At 39.8% G+C, this 18,308-nt stretch overlaps 1 protein-coding gene across 2 annotated transcripts in view; it reads left to right on the forward strand.

The window, feature by feature from the left end:
• Window positions 1-18,308, forward strand: part of GRIA3 (glutamate ionotropic receptor AMPA type subunit 3) — a 306,638-nt gene extending 288,330 nt beyond the window's left edge. The window contains exons 14-16 of one of the 2 annotated variants that reach the window (NM_007325.5): window positions 7,456-7,570; window positions 10,192-10,439; window positions 16,106-18,308. In NM_007325.5, the coding sequence (NP_015564.5) occupies window positions 7,456-7,570; window positions 10,192-10,437 (361 nt within the window). In that variant the 3' untranslated portion in view covers window positions 10,438-10,439; window positions 16,106-18,308. The remainder of the gene's footprint in view (window positions 1-7,455; window positions 7,571-10,191; window positions 10,440-16,105) is intronic. The other variant, NM_000828.5, reaches the window with a different exon arrangement.

Genomic DNA, 18,308 nt, shown 5'->3' on the forward strand with positions numbered 1-18,308 from the left:
GTTCAACTACTAGATGGAGAAGTTGAACAGAGGTCCAGTTTGGCAGTTTAGTAGAAATCTATCAGTGAAATACACAACCTATGGAATCAAGGGGTCTACTGCTCTGTATTTGAGAGGTTGTAATTTAGAAATGTCACTGGCTTTACCCATGTGTGTAAGAGTTGCTTCTGGGGCTGCTGCTGCAGCATAGATGCTCATCAATAGGTTTCAATCACTAGCATTGTTAGGCCCTTAGTGAAATGACTCACAGCTTTCAACTCTTAATGTTATATGCACGCATTATTGAATTTTCTCTTTGCACTTATATTAAATTATTATCCCAATAGCAAGGAGTTAAATAGGTTTGAGCTATATTTGTGAACTACATGAATATAAATACTCTCTCAGAGATGGTTTCTAGCAGCTAAGCACTGCATAACTGCAAATCATTGTAGCTGCCCTTGTTAAATGAGGATTATTTAGGTTGCCAGAGTTCAGTAATGCCAGCAGCCATATATGCACATGCTCCCACGTTGTACAGAAAGCCCAGGCTGATCCAAGGATAGAAGGATTGAAATAAAATCCTCATTTTCCTGGAATCCTACATTCAGGAACCCCTGTGAAAACAAAGGGATAGAGATTTGTTTTAAAGGACTTCAGACACTGGTGTACTCAAGGGCATATTCTGAACTGCCATGGCCTTAAACAGCTGCTATATGGAGAGATAAATCCCTTCATTATACATATCCCAGGTTAATCTACAGAAAAGAATGTAAAGTACCACATAGTAAATTCTTTAATACAGCAAATATTCTTCTTTTGCTTGATCATCAATTGGCTTCAGCTAAATAAAGCAAGACCAACCTGGGCAGAGATGTCTGTGACTGCCTGCCTGTACATGCCTGTTATGTCCTGGGTGATGCTGGGGCTTTTCCAGAGAATGCTAGAGAAGCAAGTGAGTGATTGGGAAAGATGCTTTGCCATCATGAAAACCTGAAACATCTTCAGTAAAAGAGTTAGCAAAAGAGAGGATGGCTGTTCTCCCTCCATTGGGCCAAAGACATTTCTAAAAAGTTGTTCCCAAAAGATCACTAGATACCAAGAAGCAGGTGTTAGTAACTTAGAGCAAGGGTTTGGTTAAGGGATAGGGTGAGGGAGGGGCTTCCAGCTTAGGCCGTGATAAGTTTCCATTCTCGTCATCCAGATAATGTGTTATCAGAGCAGATTTCTAATTGACTATGCAAATGCACCACCCTTGCTCATACATTTCTTTTACTTCTCTGTGATCTCTTTGTCTTTCTCCATAACCTACATATTTACACATATATCTATCTCTCCTAAGGGCACCATTGAGGATCTTCTGGAATAATTAATTAAACAGACATTTGCTCTTTAGGTGTCCCTGCTCTGAAAGGAGAAGTGAAGCCATTTATAGTAGTATATATCCCATAGTATTTCAGGGGACTAAATCATACTACAACCTGGGTTCTGATATTTTTCAGGCCCAGAACCATATTGACAGTATAGATTCCTCTCTTTACCCTTCCAGGATCACCAGATTATTTCACAGAATCAACTTGGTAATTAATTGACAAGACCCAATTTTCCTTCTTTTCCCCTAAGCTCAGCACCCTCATATCACTCTCTTCACCATTTCTTTGTTCATGATAAGGAATCCAACCTGGTTCTAAGCTACTATTTGCTATTTACTATTTTAGGTATTTCCTGAAATTAAAACTTTAAAATAAATTAAGCAGTTCTTTTGAAATACATCAAAAGTTTTATTTATTTTGTTTTTTAAAAAAATTAAGTTTTGGCTGGGCGTGGTGGCTCACACCTGTAATCCCAGCACTTTGGGAGGCTGAGGTGGGCGGATCACAAGGTCAAGAGATTGAGACCATCCTGGCCAACATGGTGAAACCCCATCTCTACGAAAAATATAAAAAATTAGCTGGACATGGTGGCATGTGCCTGTAGTCTCAGCTACTTGGGAGGCTGAGGCAGGAGGATCACTTGAACCCGGGAGGCGGAGGTTGCAGTGAGCCGAGATCATGCCACTGCACTCCAGCCTGGCAACAGAGCGAGACTCTGTCTCAAAAATAAATAATTAATAAAAATTTAAAAAAAAAATAAGTTTCTACTTTCACAGAAAAAAAAATCAATGGCATTCTTATCCTAAAGCTGTCTCCATATGTAAGGTTGGCCATCACTAAGATAACATTGATTCTTTAAAATGGCTGGTTGGTACAACCCAGGAACTGAGCCTGGAATCCAGGAGACCACCAGCTGGCAGGTGGAGGCCTTGGATTGTGAGCAGTCTTAGTAGCTGAGTTAGTGGCAGGTGTGGATGGTAGAGATAAGCAGAAATTTTTATAATCCAATAATGTTTTCTTCAAAAAATGAACTCATTATCAAAGTATTATGAATTACATTACTATCCTCCATATAAAAAACAGACAGATGTAATTCCATGACTGTTCCCCACACTCAGGAATCATCACTGAGACACAATTCAGCATTAACTTCACATACTTTTAAATGACTATCTAATTCCCATTTCTCTCACTCTCTCCATCTGATCAGCAATCCATATGCATTTTTATGACTTACATGCCACAAAATGTTTTCTTAGGGGAACCTTACACTCTTCCACCCCACCTCAAACATTTTTTTAGACAAAATAGAACAAAGAGTTGTAGTTTATAAATATTTACTCTTTGTTTCATTTCCCATTTCTCAGAAGGATTTGTATTTTAACAAATCATGTCACTTGAAGATGTGAAATTCTCACAGTGGAATTTCAGCTGCCAGTGAGATAAATATTTTTGGATGGAGGGATGTTCCCAGTCCCCATGAAATTATGTCACAAAGCACTCCTGTTTTTTCCCTAAGCCTGCTGACTCATGTCTTTGTCTTAAGACGGCTCTACTCAGCAAAAAGTTCATAGCAAGCCCTTCAGAGGGGAGAGTGCCTGACTAATTTCCACGATAGGAATCTGACCTACTTTGTTTAATTCTTTCTGTTCTCTATTGAGGTGAGTACAATAAATATTTCTGACTTATAATTCTCTTAGGTACCAGTTAAGGGCCTGCAGTAATTGCTGTGAAACATTACACTGGAGACATTGCTGCACCACAGTAAAAGGCCCCAGCTGCAAAATACACCCTTGCTAGATTGATAGTTATTTGGAGTATGGGGGTCCCTAAAGGAAAATAAAGTCATCACAAATATCTAAGCTTGAAGAGCAAAAATAAAGAGGGATGCTACCCTTTTGTGTATTCCATTGGAGAATGTACAGAACACAGCTCAATGTATATTAATTGGCCTCTTGACCCACCCCATAAGTTGCTGCACAGGTTTGTGCAAATTGCTTAACCTATCTGTGCCTCAATTTCTTTTTGTATTAAATAGACACCATAAATCTACCTTCTTAGGGTGATCATTAAACCTGAACAATAATTATAATCATAATAATAAGTATGTAAATATACTAGATTGAAAAACAAAATACTAAAAGAGTTATTGATTTGACAAGTATTTATTAAGAAAAATATCCTAAATGGAGATACAAATACATGAGCCATATTCCCTGCCCTTGAGAAGCACACAGTGTAGTGGGAGACATAAGACATAGGCATAAATAATAAGGCAAGGTAGAAGTCATGGAAGAGACAGAAAACATTGAAGAGCAAAAATGGCTTCATGGAGAAAATGACATTCAAAATGATCAAATGCCCACCTATTTCCACTTCCTTCAAAATACCTATGTGTAAGAGTGTGTGTGTGTGTTGGGGAGAGGGTGTCAATACCTTCAGTTGGTTAGGATTGGGCTAGGTAACACATCTAATAAGGTACAGTAAGAAAGAAAACTATGTGGACAAAAGCAGTTTTCCTCTGCCGTCTCAGAAATTTAGTCTACCCCACAGCAACATAGAGTTCTAGGAGATTTGGATTTTAAAGTACTTTCTTTTCTTGGCATCTATTGTAACCTTGTTAAGTGGTATTATCTGTGATTTCTGATTACAGCTTTTATGTTTGTTGGCTGTGCTGCTGCTTGAAATGTTTGTTTTTCTCCCTCATTTTTATTTAGAAGTTCCCAAAAGCACATTGGTTCCCTGCCAGGTTTCATAAACCCTGTGATTATTTTTCCGATCCAAGGCTAAACTTCTAAGAGTAGGTCATTTGTCAAAATTCTCTAAAGTCCTGTGGTATCTCACAGGAGGTCTGGATACTCAAAGGCAGCATTTGTTGCCTGTAGCATCTCCCGGCCCCGACCCAGGTGTGACAACAAAAAATGACTCCAGACATTGCCAAATGTCCCCTGGAGGACAAAATGGCCTCTGGTTGAAAACTATTGCTCTAAAGTAACCTACACTGTAATGGTTTAAGCCATGGGAGTGAAAAGCAGTTACTAGCCAGTTCGTGGAAGCCACTAGATGGCCTAAGGCAGGGATAAGCCATTGTTCAGAAGTAGGATGCTAAGTCACCGATGTACTGAGCCTGGGTTTTGGCAAGAGTGGACAGTGGCAGCCCAGCATGGACCCCTAGCACAAGAATAGCCTTCCCTCCTCCAAAACCTGTTTCTGAAATGCTTTGTCCCAGGACTTCTCTACATTCTTAAAAATGATTAAGAATCCCAAATAGATTTTCTTTATGTGTGTTACATCTATTCATATTTACCACATCAGAAATTAAAACTGAAAAATTGTTCATGTATTCATTGATTCATTTTAAAAAATAATAAACCCAATATATGCTAACATAAATAATATACTTTCATGAAAAATAACTATTTTTCTAAAACAATAAAAAGAATAGTGAGAAGAATGGCACTGTCTATATTTCTGTAAATCTCTTTGGTATCTGGTATAATACAGAGAATGAGATTCTCATTTCTGCTTCTTCAATCAATCTATTGTAATTTCACCCATCATATGGCCTCCAGGAAACTCCACTGTATATCAAGAAGGAATAATAGTGAGAAGGGCACTTAGCATTATTATAAAAATAGTTTTGACCTCACAGATCTTTTGATGAAAGGGTTTCAGGGATCCTCCGGGGGTCCCTGGACCACACTTTGAGAACAACTGCTCTAAACTGACATGCCACACTTTTATGAATGTAGTTCACTTAAGGGTTGATAAATTTCTTTTGAAACTAGGATCTCTAGGAGCAGTGAAATCTCCCTATTAGACCTTAGTGTGAGTACCTTTAATCAGACTGCTCTGTTCCTAAGATCTGGTGAGCAGCAGTACTGAAGAAACTGAATGACGTAATTTGAAGAACATATTACCGGGAGGGAGGACAGGACCGGGTAAGGGCTTAGTCAGGTAGCAGTGTGAGGACACTGGGCCCTTTGCAATAAGAAAAGAGGAAGCACAGAAAGGAGGAAGAATTTGCTTTGTAGTTTCTCCTGTGGTCCTGATGAGCCCAGTCACTCATATGCCATTGGAAAGCATCTTCCCCTGTATCCTGAGCTAATTGCCACATTGCTGAGCCTGGTGCCACTGCCTGACTTAAGGCATAGCATTGCAGGAGAAGTGGTAGTGATGAGACAACAACAGGGAAGAGGAAGAGAGAGAAGAGCATCAGACGGTGGAGAATAGAGGAGAAGACAGTGCCAACACTAAACTCAGGGCCATCGATGGCCTGTCTGTCATTTGAAAGCCTGACTTAACTTTCACTGCCAGTAATATCTTAAAGAGGCTCAAAGTTTTATTTGAGTATATTTTTGTTGCTTTGCATTCCAAGCAACTGGTTAGCATTTGAGAAGCCTGGGGTTCCGAGCATTGGTTGAAGGAACTTGTTTAAAGTATAAAAGGATCTCAATTTCCTAGTGAGATACAAAATCCAAATATTCTGGCTGCCAGGTCCTACGCTAACCAAGAAAGTTACCTCCCTGATATTAAAGATTTATAGTTATTCAAACCGCAAGTACTCTGAAATTGCATTATTTTTAAATGATTATATCTTTCTCAGACTATCTGAAGATAAGATAGCCCCTCTGTTTTAAACAGCAAATGAGGGAAGAAAGGAAATAGGTTTTGGGACTTTGTATGATAGAGACCAGATCTCTGTGACTATAGCAAGTCTTATTAGTGACTGGATATGTTAGTGGGTCCAACTTATCCAAAATAGGCTAAGAAATTTTTACAGCATGTTCACAGTTCCATAAATTTTTCTGCTGTCCTCTTTTTAAGTTAGTGACATTCAGACCAACATGCACTAATATTTGGCAATATTGCTCCCATGAATGTGAACAGACAGTTTATTGCCTCAGAATTATGCCACCCTCTCTACATGGTGCATTTTTTATCCCAAGTCATTAAAGATTCTTCATTTAAAATCTAATAGCTCTAGAAAGAAGACAGGATAAAGGTCATTATTCCCATTTTACAGCTGAAGAAATTTATAAGGGAGAAAATCTTTATCCTAGAACCAGTAGGGTTTCGGGCACTTGCCCAGTGGCTCTGAATGCAGTCCTTATGTTTTAAGCAGTGAAGGACTAAGGAGCAGTGGCCTGGCCTCCTGGGGATATGTACTAGCCTCTTAGTTGAGGAAGTCTTATCTTACTAGAACAATTAAACTATTTCTCTACAGCGTTACCCAACAGTGGCAGAGTCATTTTGCTGGTTTAGGCCCTGCCATATTAATAATCCATTTTGAAACAATCTGGTTTGCCCTCTGGTGATCTAAGTTGACCACAGACATATGGCCATATCAGAAGGACAGCCAATCAGTAACTCAAAAACAATCCATAGACCAGTTTTTACATTGTTGAAAATACTCCCCTTATCCAAAACAGAGGTCCACAATATACCTTTAATACTAAGACCAGTATGTGCATAAGAATTTCGACTACATGTTTGTGGAGTAAGAACATGTACGTGGTACAGTTCTTTCTGAGATCATTTTCAGCTGGGCAACAGACTTGTGTGATAAAGGACAATTAATTAGAAGGCATGTTATTTATGTAGAATCTATTTTCAATTCTGTTCGGATTTATCCATTTGTCTCGGTCCACAATATGGAAACACTTCCCCTTCTGGGTCTGTCCTTTTCCCGACTCCTCCATAAAATTTGCTTTCTGTCTGGAAGTACAACAAGACACCCAGTTAGATCAAACTTAACACATCTCCTTCACAAAGCTACTGCAAGCTGCCGCCGACGATTGTCACCTGAGGGGAGACCCTCCTCACCACACACAACCTATCTGAGGAGTGCCTTTTTTTCTATCCTCATTATTTAACAGTGTGTGCCGATTACTCAAAGCGATATGGGCAGGCCCTGGTAAATATAGCGTTGCTGTAGTGTTAACTTTTTATAAGGTAATGCTCAGGTTGCCTGCAGTGTCTAAAATTACTCTGTGGCCAGGGCCCCCTGCTTTATCGCTTTCTATAGTTTTAAAGTAGTTTGAAGCTTGAATAACATAAAATAACATAATATAATGTTATTTATGTTATTTCCCACGTGAAGAACGCCTGTAAACCTTGCAGTATTGAAACTCAGTGAACAAGGCATCTTAGACAAGCTGAAAAACAAATGGTGGTACGATAAGGGGGAATGTGGAGCCAAGGACTCCGGGAGTAAGGTCAGTCGCTGAAGGTCTTTTTGTACTGATTAGCAATCACATTTTGACCCACTGTTTATTTTCTACCCTAAAACGGCTTTCCTTCCCAACACACACTCCCTGACACAGTGGGACCCCTTTATAACAACAGTGCTAAAGGAATAAGACAAATGCCAGCCTCAGAGGCCTGCCACATGACATCAATTGTTGACTCTATAGAACAGTTATGATGATTAGGAAACTCAATCTGGCCTACTGCATTTCCAAAGTTATAAAATAATGAGCTGTGTTATAAGGGGGTTTTACTGTATTTCACATTTCAAAAGTTCAAAGAGAAAATATAATAACAATAACAACAACAACAACCAAAAAAAAGAAAGATTTATTTGTGACAGTACTTTCTCTTAACCTCTTACAGTGTCAGAGACTTTGTAGTTATAAATGCATTTGGTTATTAATATATTATGTCAATCCCATCTGAAAACAGTCAAACGAATAAATAACAAAGACTGGTCTCTGTAAGCAGAATGATTAGCCTCCTGCCAGCTGCTGTTGTATTGAGTTCAGCATTAATTTGGATCTCGAATCTCATTAAGTCTGTCACACTTCTCTCTTCCAAAGGTGTCATTTGAATCTCTGTACGTAATACTTTTAAAATTTAGTCGCATGCTCCTTAAAGGTATACATCGTTAGGATAACATCACATTGATAAGCATGAAACACTCTTCCCCGCCTCCTTCCTGCCCCCCTTCGCTCCCCTAAGAAAGTTCTTTTTTAGTTTCAATTTTTGCCTTTCCTTTTTTTGGACTAATATCGTGGTATCAGTTAATTCATTTCATGAAATGCCACTCATTTTCCCCGTGCAATGAACCATTTTGCTACTGGTTTTCTACATCCCACATCAGGGAATTCTATAACTCTTGTGAAACTTAAATAATACATGGAACTTGAAACTGTTCTTCTTGTCACAGCTTACATGGGTTATGTCAAAGGACCTCTCCCCCCATTAAATATCATATACATATAAAAGTCTAATGGCAGAGGAAGGGTTACCAGAAATTGGTCTATTTCCCAATGGACTGTGGAACATCCTTGCAGATAGCCTCACCAGTCTCCTTAAAGAGATAATCCAATATTTCATATGTGACAGAAATTATTACTACTTGTCTAGCTGTCATTCATCCTAAAAGAGTGACTATTTGCAAGGTTGTTGTGAATATGAGGCATTCCCACACCCCGTTTCTGAATGCAATTCAATTTCAATTGGACCTTTTATTAAAGTAAACAAGTATAGGACTGGCTTCTATGAAAATGGGATAAGAAGGACACGGCCATATTGTCTTTACTTTTAATTATTTAAATGATACCAAGACCAGCTGAACTAGAGTGTTAAGTGTCAGCAATGGCCATCATCTGTCACTGTGTTGTCACTTAAATAAGATGCTCAAAATTCACTGGCTTAACAATTTGGGTATTCCATTCAATTACATTCAGCAGCAAAATGGTTACATACCCTCTAAAAAGACTACAAAATGCTATTTTATTTTATTTCTTTTTCAAAGAAAGACTCCTGGCCCTTGGTGTGTCCTACCTCAAGGTAGGGCTCAAGACACCAACTTTTTTCTTTCCATTGTTCAGCAGTTCAGATTTTGCTTTTTCATACAGGCAGATAGCTTAGTCAGATTTGCACAGTTTGACCTGAAAGTCACTGACCGGCTTCCTCAATTTTTCCCCCTTGTTACAAAGAAAGCAAATAAGTGTAATTTTTAAAAATTATTCTCTACATTCCCTGGAGTAAAAGTTAAAAATGAGCTGGATTTTTAAAAAAATCATCAGCCTCCTGGAAAAGCTTTCTGATTTGTATGGAGCCAATCTAGGACCCGATGGATCCTCTGACACTCTCCTTAAACTCTCAGGAAAATGGAACGGAGCCAATTCTTTGTGCTGTGCCCTTGTTCCAGCAACACAAAGACTTGCTGCCCTGATTTTAACTAGGATGAAGATTTAGCAGCCAATCTCCAAAGGGAGCATTTTCTCAGCCACTAGGGGAAAGAGGAGAGTTAACCCTTTTTAAGCAAACCCTTGCAAAATAACTCCTCAGAGAAAAATAGCAGGAACCTCTAATATTATCATGTCGTATCTTAAAGACTAGTCGTTCACAAAGTTTGTCACAGGGAGAGCAAGGGAGAAAGGGGTGTTGCGGGGCAGAGAGGGGAAAGAGTGCTTCAAGTTCCCAAATGAAAAGAGTGTTACATTTATAGAGATTATGTCACCGCTCAACTCTGGCAAATGGTGTTTATCAAGGCTGGCAGAGGAATAAATTATGCTTGTGTTTACTCTTTTGTTCCCATGGCCAAGTGCTGTTTTATTAATTGTTGAACACCATTTTGAGGCACTAAGGAACGTAAGGAGTCAAGATGAAAGGACATTTAGGTGAGGATCAAGACTGTTAACAGAGGCACAATCTACCGTCTTGCTGGTCATTGCAAAACATTAGCCAGTTGCCAGAATTGAGTCATAACACTTACATCAATGTTTAGTTATTTTACAATTTAGAACTCCCCTGTACTGTTGTAATATATTATAATGTTCCATTGCCTTTGTTTTCCCCAAGATCTAATCACGTTGTTCATTTCTCTTAGGACAAGACCAGCGCTCTGAGCCTGAGCAATGTGGCAGGCGTTTTCTATATACTTGTCGGAGGTCTGGGGCTGGCCATGATGGTGGCTTTGATAGAATTCTGTTACAAATCACGGGCAGAGTCCAAACGCATGAAACTCACAAAGAACACCCAAAACTTTAAGCCTGCTCCTGCCACCAACACTCAGAATTATGCTACATACAGAGAAGGCTACAACGTGTATGGAACAGAGAGTGTTAAGATCTAGGGGTACGGTTAAGGTCTAGTAAACTAATCAGCTTTACTTTACTGTATGTCAATCTCTTTTTTTCTTCTTTTTTTTTTTTTTTAGTTTGGTTTATTGTTCAAAGCATTGTCTCTTTGCAACCATTTGATTCTTTGAAAACAATGGTTGTGCTTTCTTGTCAGGCAGTGGTGCTTTTCTAATAGAATGGTTGTAATTAAATTGTGGTCTGTGACCCAAAAGGAAATACAATTCTCCAGAACATCATTGTTCAATAGAAAATATATGCAAGCCACATACATGAGCCACGTGTGCAATTTTAAATGTTCTAGTAGTCATATGTTAAAAAGTAAAACAAGTGAAATTAATTTTAATGATACATTTTATTTAACCCAATATATCCAAAATATGATCCTTTCAACATGTTATCAATACAAAAAAAAGAATGACAAATTTTACATTCTTCACGCTAATCTTGCAAATCTGGGGTATATTTTATGCTTATGGTACATCTTGACTCATACTAGTTACATATCAAATGTTCAGTAGTCACACATGGCCAGTGGTTATTGTATTGGACAATGCATCTCTAGAGAAAGCAGCTGCTCTGGAACAGATATTAAAATTAGGGGCCGGGCACGGTGGCTCACGCCTGTAATCCCAGCACTTTGGGAGGCTGAGGCGGGTGGATCACGCAGTCAGGAGATCGAGACCATCTTGGCTAACACGGTGAAACCCTGTCTCTACTAAAAATACAAAAAATTAGGCGGGCATAGTGGCAGGCGCCTGTAGTCCCAGCTACTCGGGAGGCTGAGGCAGGAGAATGGCGTGAACCTGGGAGGTGGAGCTTGCAGTGAGCCGAGATAGTGCCACTGCACTCCAGCCTGGGTGACAGTGTGAGACTCCATCTCAAAAAAAAAAATTAGGTACACAGGTGAAACACTGCCACCTCAAGTAATACAGCACTTCCATAGGGAGAGGTGGTTCTTTTAAGTAAACAGTGTATAAGTCTGAGATAATTCACTTAAGCTTTGAGTTCTTTTGTTGTCCCTTCCTTGGAACTGGTGCACAGGTAAGTGTCTATCAAAGGATAGTCTAGGCTCCCAGCTGCTAGCCAAGCCCTAATTCATACTTCAGTGAACCTGAGTGTTGCCACCTTGACTCTGGCAACTACAAACACCACCAATAATTCAGAATGTTCAAATGCAAGCTCGAATTAGAATAATGTCTCCATTCTGGACGTGTTTAAAAGAATATAGTCTTGTTACTTTAAAGTGCATCTGTCATCACTAAAATGCCTATCTGAAGTGGAACAGAACAATAAGCAACTTCATACCCCTTATTTTAGGCAATTTTGACCTCATGAGTAAATGTCAATATGCTGGGATTTCTACAAGTGCATTTGTGTTTTGTTGTTGTTGTTGTTGTTGTTTTGTTTTGGGGTTTTTTTGGGGGGTGTTCTGTTTTGTTTTGTTTTTGAGGCGGAATTTCACTCTATCGCCCAGGCTGGAGTGCAGTGACGCGATCTCAGCTCATTGCAACCTCCACATCCCGGGTTCAAGCGATTCTCCCGCCTCACCCTCCCAAGTAGCTGGGATTACAGGCACTTGCCACCATGCCCAGCTAATTTTTTTCTATTTTTAGTAGAGACAGAGTTTCACCATGTTGGCCAGGCTGGTCTCCAACTCTTGACTTCAAGTGATCCGCCTGCGTCAGCCTCCCAAAGTGCTGGGATTACAGGCGTGAGCCACCATGCCCGGCTGCATTTGTGTTTTGGCCTTCTTATAGTTCACACTGTGGATTTACATTTAGCCAATTTTTAAATAATATTTCATTCAAATAAATCATTTGTCTTGGTCATGGAAAACATAATTTTGTCCAGTGAAGTTGCTGGTTGTTCCTTCTTCCTGCCTTTTGCCACAACATATTCAGCACACTGCACCAATCCGCTGACAGTGTTCCCATTGCATTGGTGGATGTACAATACATGGATTCATCTGTAATTGCATTGTTTGCATGCAAGCATTTAATGTTTCAATGTGCTTAAAATGTTTTACTCTTGAGTAGGTGCCATAGGCCCATTACAATTTGGGGCATATGTTTTTATAGGATAATATTAATACATGATTCATAATCCATTTTCAAAGTGATCCACTTTCTTTCTGTAGCCTACACATAGACAGGCTTGCTGGACATGAGCAATTTCAATCTAACTTAATTATCCCAAATTTTGAGGTGCTGGCCTCCAAATAAATAATACACCTGAAATTTGTGTAGCAGTCATCCAAGTGTTCTCACATCTATTGGCTCATTTGAGATAAGATGGATCAGGCAATTATCAGTAAGACCCAGCCCATGAAGTGACTTACTCAAGGCAACACAGTTAGGTAGTGGCAGTTCTGGGACTAGAACCCAGCCCTTCTTCTGCCTATAGCCATATCTTTGCTAAACCATGCTACTTCTAACCACCCATGGCCTGATGTCCCCCAGGAAACTTGAAATCCTAATGGGATCCTGTCAAATGGAGAGCAGATCTTGAGTTTCTGTTCCACTTGTCCACAAAAAAAGTCTTGAGAAACTTCACCAAGCCTCCATATGCCCCATTCCTTATGCACTCCACACAAGATTGAATATTCAATCACTCCTACTTTCCCCAGAAAGAATCTTTCTGAAACAGGATTACATCAAGGCTCAGGGTCACATGACCTCCAGACTCTTTATCAACGATTCCATCTGAGAATTTATGTCCCTACTATCCAATTACTATAGCCTCAGACTCTTATTAAAGCCCCAGAGCAGTATTCATCAAACATTAGTGTGCATGCAACTCATGTGGGAACCTTCTAAAAATATAGATCCTGATCCAGCAGGTCTGGGATGGGGCCTGAGGGTCTAGATTTCTCACAAACTCCCAGGTCATGCAGATGCTGCTGGTCCCAGGAGTAGAAAGATTCTAGAGAAAATAAACTCAGAGAATGTAACTTAAGAAAAGAAAGGAAGGAAGAAAAGAGGGATAGAGATACAGGAAGAAAGAGGAAGAAAGGAAGGAGGGAAGGAAGGAAGGATGGAGGCAGGGAGGCAGGGAGGGGGGAAAAGAAAGAAAGAGGGAAGGAAGGAGGGAAGGAAGGAAGGAAAGAAGAAAGGGAGGGAGGGAGGGAGGGAGGAACTGAAAGGAAATGAAAGGAAAGAAACTGGGATCAGCAAACCTTTGTTAGGACATAATGTTGCCATCCAAAAGTGGCGGCCTGGAACATCAAACCTGAGGGGAAAGTCTCAGAAACTAATATGCCACAACTTCTGGCTTTCCTTTACTCATCTGAGTTGATCCACTTTTGTGAAGCAAAATTCAGGCTACTTGAGGCAACACTCACATTTTAATAGACTCCCATGCCAGTGTGGTTATAGCCCAATTACCTAGCACCTTGGCAACCATCTCCAGGGTGAAAGAAAGGTTGGGAAGAGCATCTGCAAACAAATCTGTCCTCCAAGCCTGTACAAAGTCTCCAGACAAGAAGCAAAAGCCTCATACGACGCCAGGAAAACCTCACTTGTGTTAGTCAAGAGGCATAAAGCAAGCTGCTTTGAAACCTCTCTGTTGTCCTCAGCCAATTTGGTGATGTGATTAGGGGAATGTTGGTTAAGTGAAGAGTGAGATCTTCACCCACTCATCTTTTATTTCCCAAGAAGGTCTGGAATATCTCCTGGTGACTTCTAATTTGTTACCTAGTTATTAGGCTTCCAGTTCTCTGAGTTGGCCTAAATCTGTCAAGGTCTATCCAGGGGCACCGACATCAAGAGGTACCCTGAGATTTTACTTCTATTACTAATTATCAGAGCCCACCTTGGGAGTTTATAGTACCAGTAATTGTTCAGGAAAAATGACTCAGGGCAAATCACCTGCAAAAATGTGATCTAGTGAAATCTGGTTAATAAAAGGGCATCCTTGAAAGATGAGGGAGTCGTTTCTCATTTTCTATGGGTGATAGTCACATCAGGATTACTGGGCTTATTGTGGGAACATGTGCCTCGGCCTCAGATCATGTTTAGCTCCCACTAGGGAGCAGAAAGCCTCTTGACTACCTGGTGCCTCTCTGGGTTACTGACCAGCCACTGGAAGTGTATCCTCCCAAGCATGCCTTGGCAGGTGACTGCCCATCAAGTGCTCCAGATTCACTGCACCCTAGGGTTGACTGTGCTAATTGTTTTAGGAAGTTATTTCTCATTTCCTAATTGCAGTTCAGAAGTACTTCTGGCTTCTTTGGTTTCTTCAAAAATATTTTTGAAATCTCTGTCCTTTACAAGACCTCAACATGCCTGAAGTTAGGGGAAAAGATTTTCATTTTTCTTGTAGGAGTTTTCTGTTTAGTCATCCTAAAAATATTAGCTTTGTGGATGCAGCCCATTTTCAAAGTGATCCACTTTCCTTCTGTAGCCTATGCATAGGCATGCTTACTGGAGACATTTTGCTGCTGAAAAGAATTCACGTTATGTTAAGTATGAAAAAAAAAAGCATTCTGGATAACCAAGGTGATGATGTTCTTTCTCCCAAGGGACTTTTACATCAGTGATAATAGTTCATTTGACCCCATTTAAAAGTGGAAACAGAGGCACTGAGAGGTTGGGTTCCTTTCCCAAAGTCATGCCACTAGTTAGTGATGTCCCATGCCCACTGGGGAGACAGGGGGAGACTTTATTCTTTCTGCCAGATACAAAACTTCTCCAAGCTTCTGCGATACATATGACTCAGGACTTAGGGGTGCCAAGGAAGAGGTTTGTCTACTTTCATGTTAGTCTTATTCTACCATCCTTGGATGCTTTTGGCCTTCAGGTGCATATTTGACATTCTTCTTACAGATACTTTTACTACAGGGCCAGTGGTAGATCATAATTACGTCATTCTTTTGGGATAAAATTCGGTGTTAGCTTAGAAGAAAAGGAAGTGTTTCATTAGTGCAGAATGAAAGGATAAAGAGAGGGATGTAAACTTGAAGAGGAGGTAAGAAAGTGTCCTACAGTATTCAGAATCAGGGGCAAATGAATCCCCTGCACTAGTTAGTGCCTCCAAAAAGAAGACACTATCAGCATTTCAATCAGGCCTATATGTCAGGGCAAAGACCGCATTGATGCCAAGTCCCCTTCATGGGTATCACTGCTCTGGCCTCTTCCTAGAATCTGCTGTCTCTTTAAAGTCCCAGAGCTATTTTCAGACTTTAATAACTAAGGTTGTAGGTACTAAGAGAAACAATTGCTCACTTTTCTAGCAATAAGCAAAATATTTTCTTCTCACAGTTAAAATGGATTTCAATTCAGTAAGCCATAGAACACTGTTTACCCTCTGTCCTGGGTGAACAATCCTTTGTCATAGTTTCTGCAATCAGAATACACTCTTTTAGTTCTTGTGAATATCTGTATTAAAATGCCATGGAAACTTTCTGGTATACCTACATCATAAGTGATTAAAGCCTTGAATTAAACTTCCTGCAACACCTGCATATTCCTTAGTACAATACATATAGTAGAGAATGTAACCAGACCTGTCACCTAAAGCCAGTCAAATAAATGAGGTGCAACCCCAGAAATGCCAATTTCAGAAAACAGCCATAGTTTTGTCCAAGATAGACTGAGCCATTATAAACTTCTCAATTCCTAATAGGAAGCCCCTTCAAATTTAAATATCCCCTTGCCTTTGCAGATCCCTTCCCACTGGAGGCATGTGATGAGAGGAAATCACCGAAAACGTGGCTGCTTCAAGGATCCTGAGCCAGATTTCACTCTCCTTGGTGTCGGGCATGACACGAATATTGCTGATGGTGCAATGACCTTTCAATAGGAAAAACTGATTTTTTTTTCCTTCAGTGCCTTATGGAACACTCTGAGACTCGCGACAATGCAAACCATCATTGAAATCTTTTTGCTTTGCTTGAAAAAAAATAATTAAAATAAAAACCAACAAAAATGGACATGCAAGATTCCAGTATGCGAAAAAAAATCTTATTAAGTCAATTCAACAAAAGCCATTCTTTGATACCACTGCAGAGTATATAAACACCATGTTCTTTAATACACACACACACACACACACACACACACACACACATTTAAATTCCAATTCAGCAAAGAGGCCCATCTAAGCTAAAAAAATTAATTCTTCCTGATTAAAAAGAAAAAATCTGTCTCCCAGTGTTTGGGAAGACGGACTGGCATTTCTTCTAGGATCTGCTGACCAGATGTTTTTGGTATTTCCTGTTGGTGGTGATGTTCTGTGCACTCTATTTCCTTTCAATGTTGCTGAAATGTGTATATCTTTAGAATGTAAATGCAACACTTAAGAAAATTCAAACACTTTGGAAAAGGGACTAAACAGTGATTTCTCTGTGTTCTTGAAATGGTTTTGTGAAAATGCTTTGATAACTTCCCACTCAAAGAAGAGATTTACAGAGCTTTCGAAATTGACTTTGTGTGTAGCAAGGGACGGGGCACTATCAGGATACCTCTTGGTGCTTTCCTAAAATGGATCCCGGGGCTTTCCAAGGAGCCTGGAATTTCAGCTCACAGATCTGTTTTTCTTGCTTCAGTGTGCATTTTAAGTCAATAGAGCTGAGTATCTAGCATTGAGGTGAGGGAAATGCTGCCTATACTCCCAGATGTGTTTAGAATATCTCAGAAACAACACTGTGTTTAGCTCGGCTTTCTCTGCTAAGTATGCCTTTCAAGTGTACACCACGGAGACAGGACCGCGTTGCAAGGCGGGACAGCAGGTTCAGACCACAGTTCTCAGTCTGACTTTACTCTTGCTAGGTCTGTCCTACTAGCTGTTGCCTGCTACCGCCCATGGCTCTCCATCGGACTGCATGTGTCCTTTTCTAGTTTGCAAAGACTAAAATGCATTCCCAAACCTACTGCTAATCTGAGGGCCTCAGCATCACTTCCAGATCCTTGCTTGGAGCAGTCTCTCTATTGACTCTCTCAGATCGCTCCACTGCTCCATGGGCTATCAAGTAACTAACTGCATACCTGCCGTTGGCATCATCAGAACAGTCCGAAGAAATAGTCTCCACTCACTAATTACCTCCTATATAACGACGTATGCTTCCTGTAGTTCAGTAGTTTGCTCTCATCGATAACGTGCATTGGGAAGTTTCCAGACTGCAAAAACTAGGAGCTCGCATTCATTTCCCAAGTGTGACCCTTAGATGCTTAGTTGACTCGCTGCATATTTGCTCTTGTCTTCAGAAAAGAAAGGAAGAAGTATCGTTCCAACGAAATGTTTCCAGAAAAGTGTACTATAAACTTTCATTCCAAAAATGGTGTCATAAGCAAACAACTCACTTGTCAAATTTCAAATGGTATTGAACAAAAAAAGAAAGCTGTTGTGTTTTTGTTTTGTTTTGTTTTCATGAAACTGTGATTTTCAACTTATGAATGCTATAATGTCCCAGCGCGGGAAGCTCACGCTGTGTGAACATGAAGTTGTATAAAACAAACCAACCAACCTACACACAAATGTTTTCATAGGCACTGTATAAAGAAAAATGTATGTTTATTAACTCAAATCAGTTTTTCAGAGAGGAAACGTCACTGAGATGAAGAGGCGGGTAAATTGGTTTGTTATTTTTTAAAAAAAACTTGCATGTTTAAAAAAAAGTTGATTGCTTCAAATTTCTGCTACTAACTTCAAGCTATGGGAGTTTGGCAGTAGTCACTTGAGGATTTTTTTTCCAATTCTTTTCTTTTTGTTGTTAAAGCTGTACTTCAGTGAACAGAAAAATTGCCAAGCAAACTAATGGCTATAAAAGCGTAATTTGCATGTGTGGGCATAAACTACAGAGCCTCATTGCCATGAGGTATTGTACAAAGTTTTAATACATTTTGTAAATAAAATTGTAAAGAAAGAA

The sequence above is a fragment of the Homo sapiens genome, chromosome X (genome assembly GCF_000001405.40).
Source record: "Homo sapiens chromosome X, GRCh38.p14 Primary Assembly".
Taxonomy (NCBI): domain Eukaryota; kingdom Metazoa; phylum Chordata; class Mammalia; order Primates; family Hominidae; genus Homo; species Homo sapiens.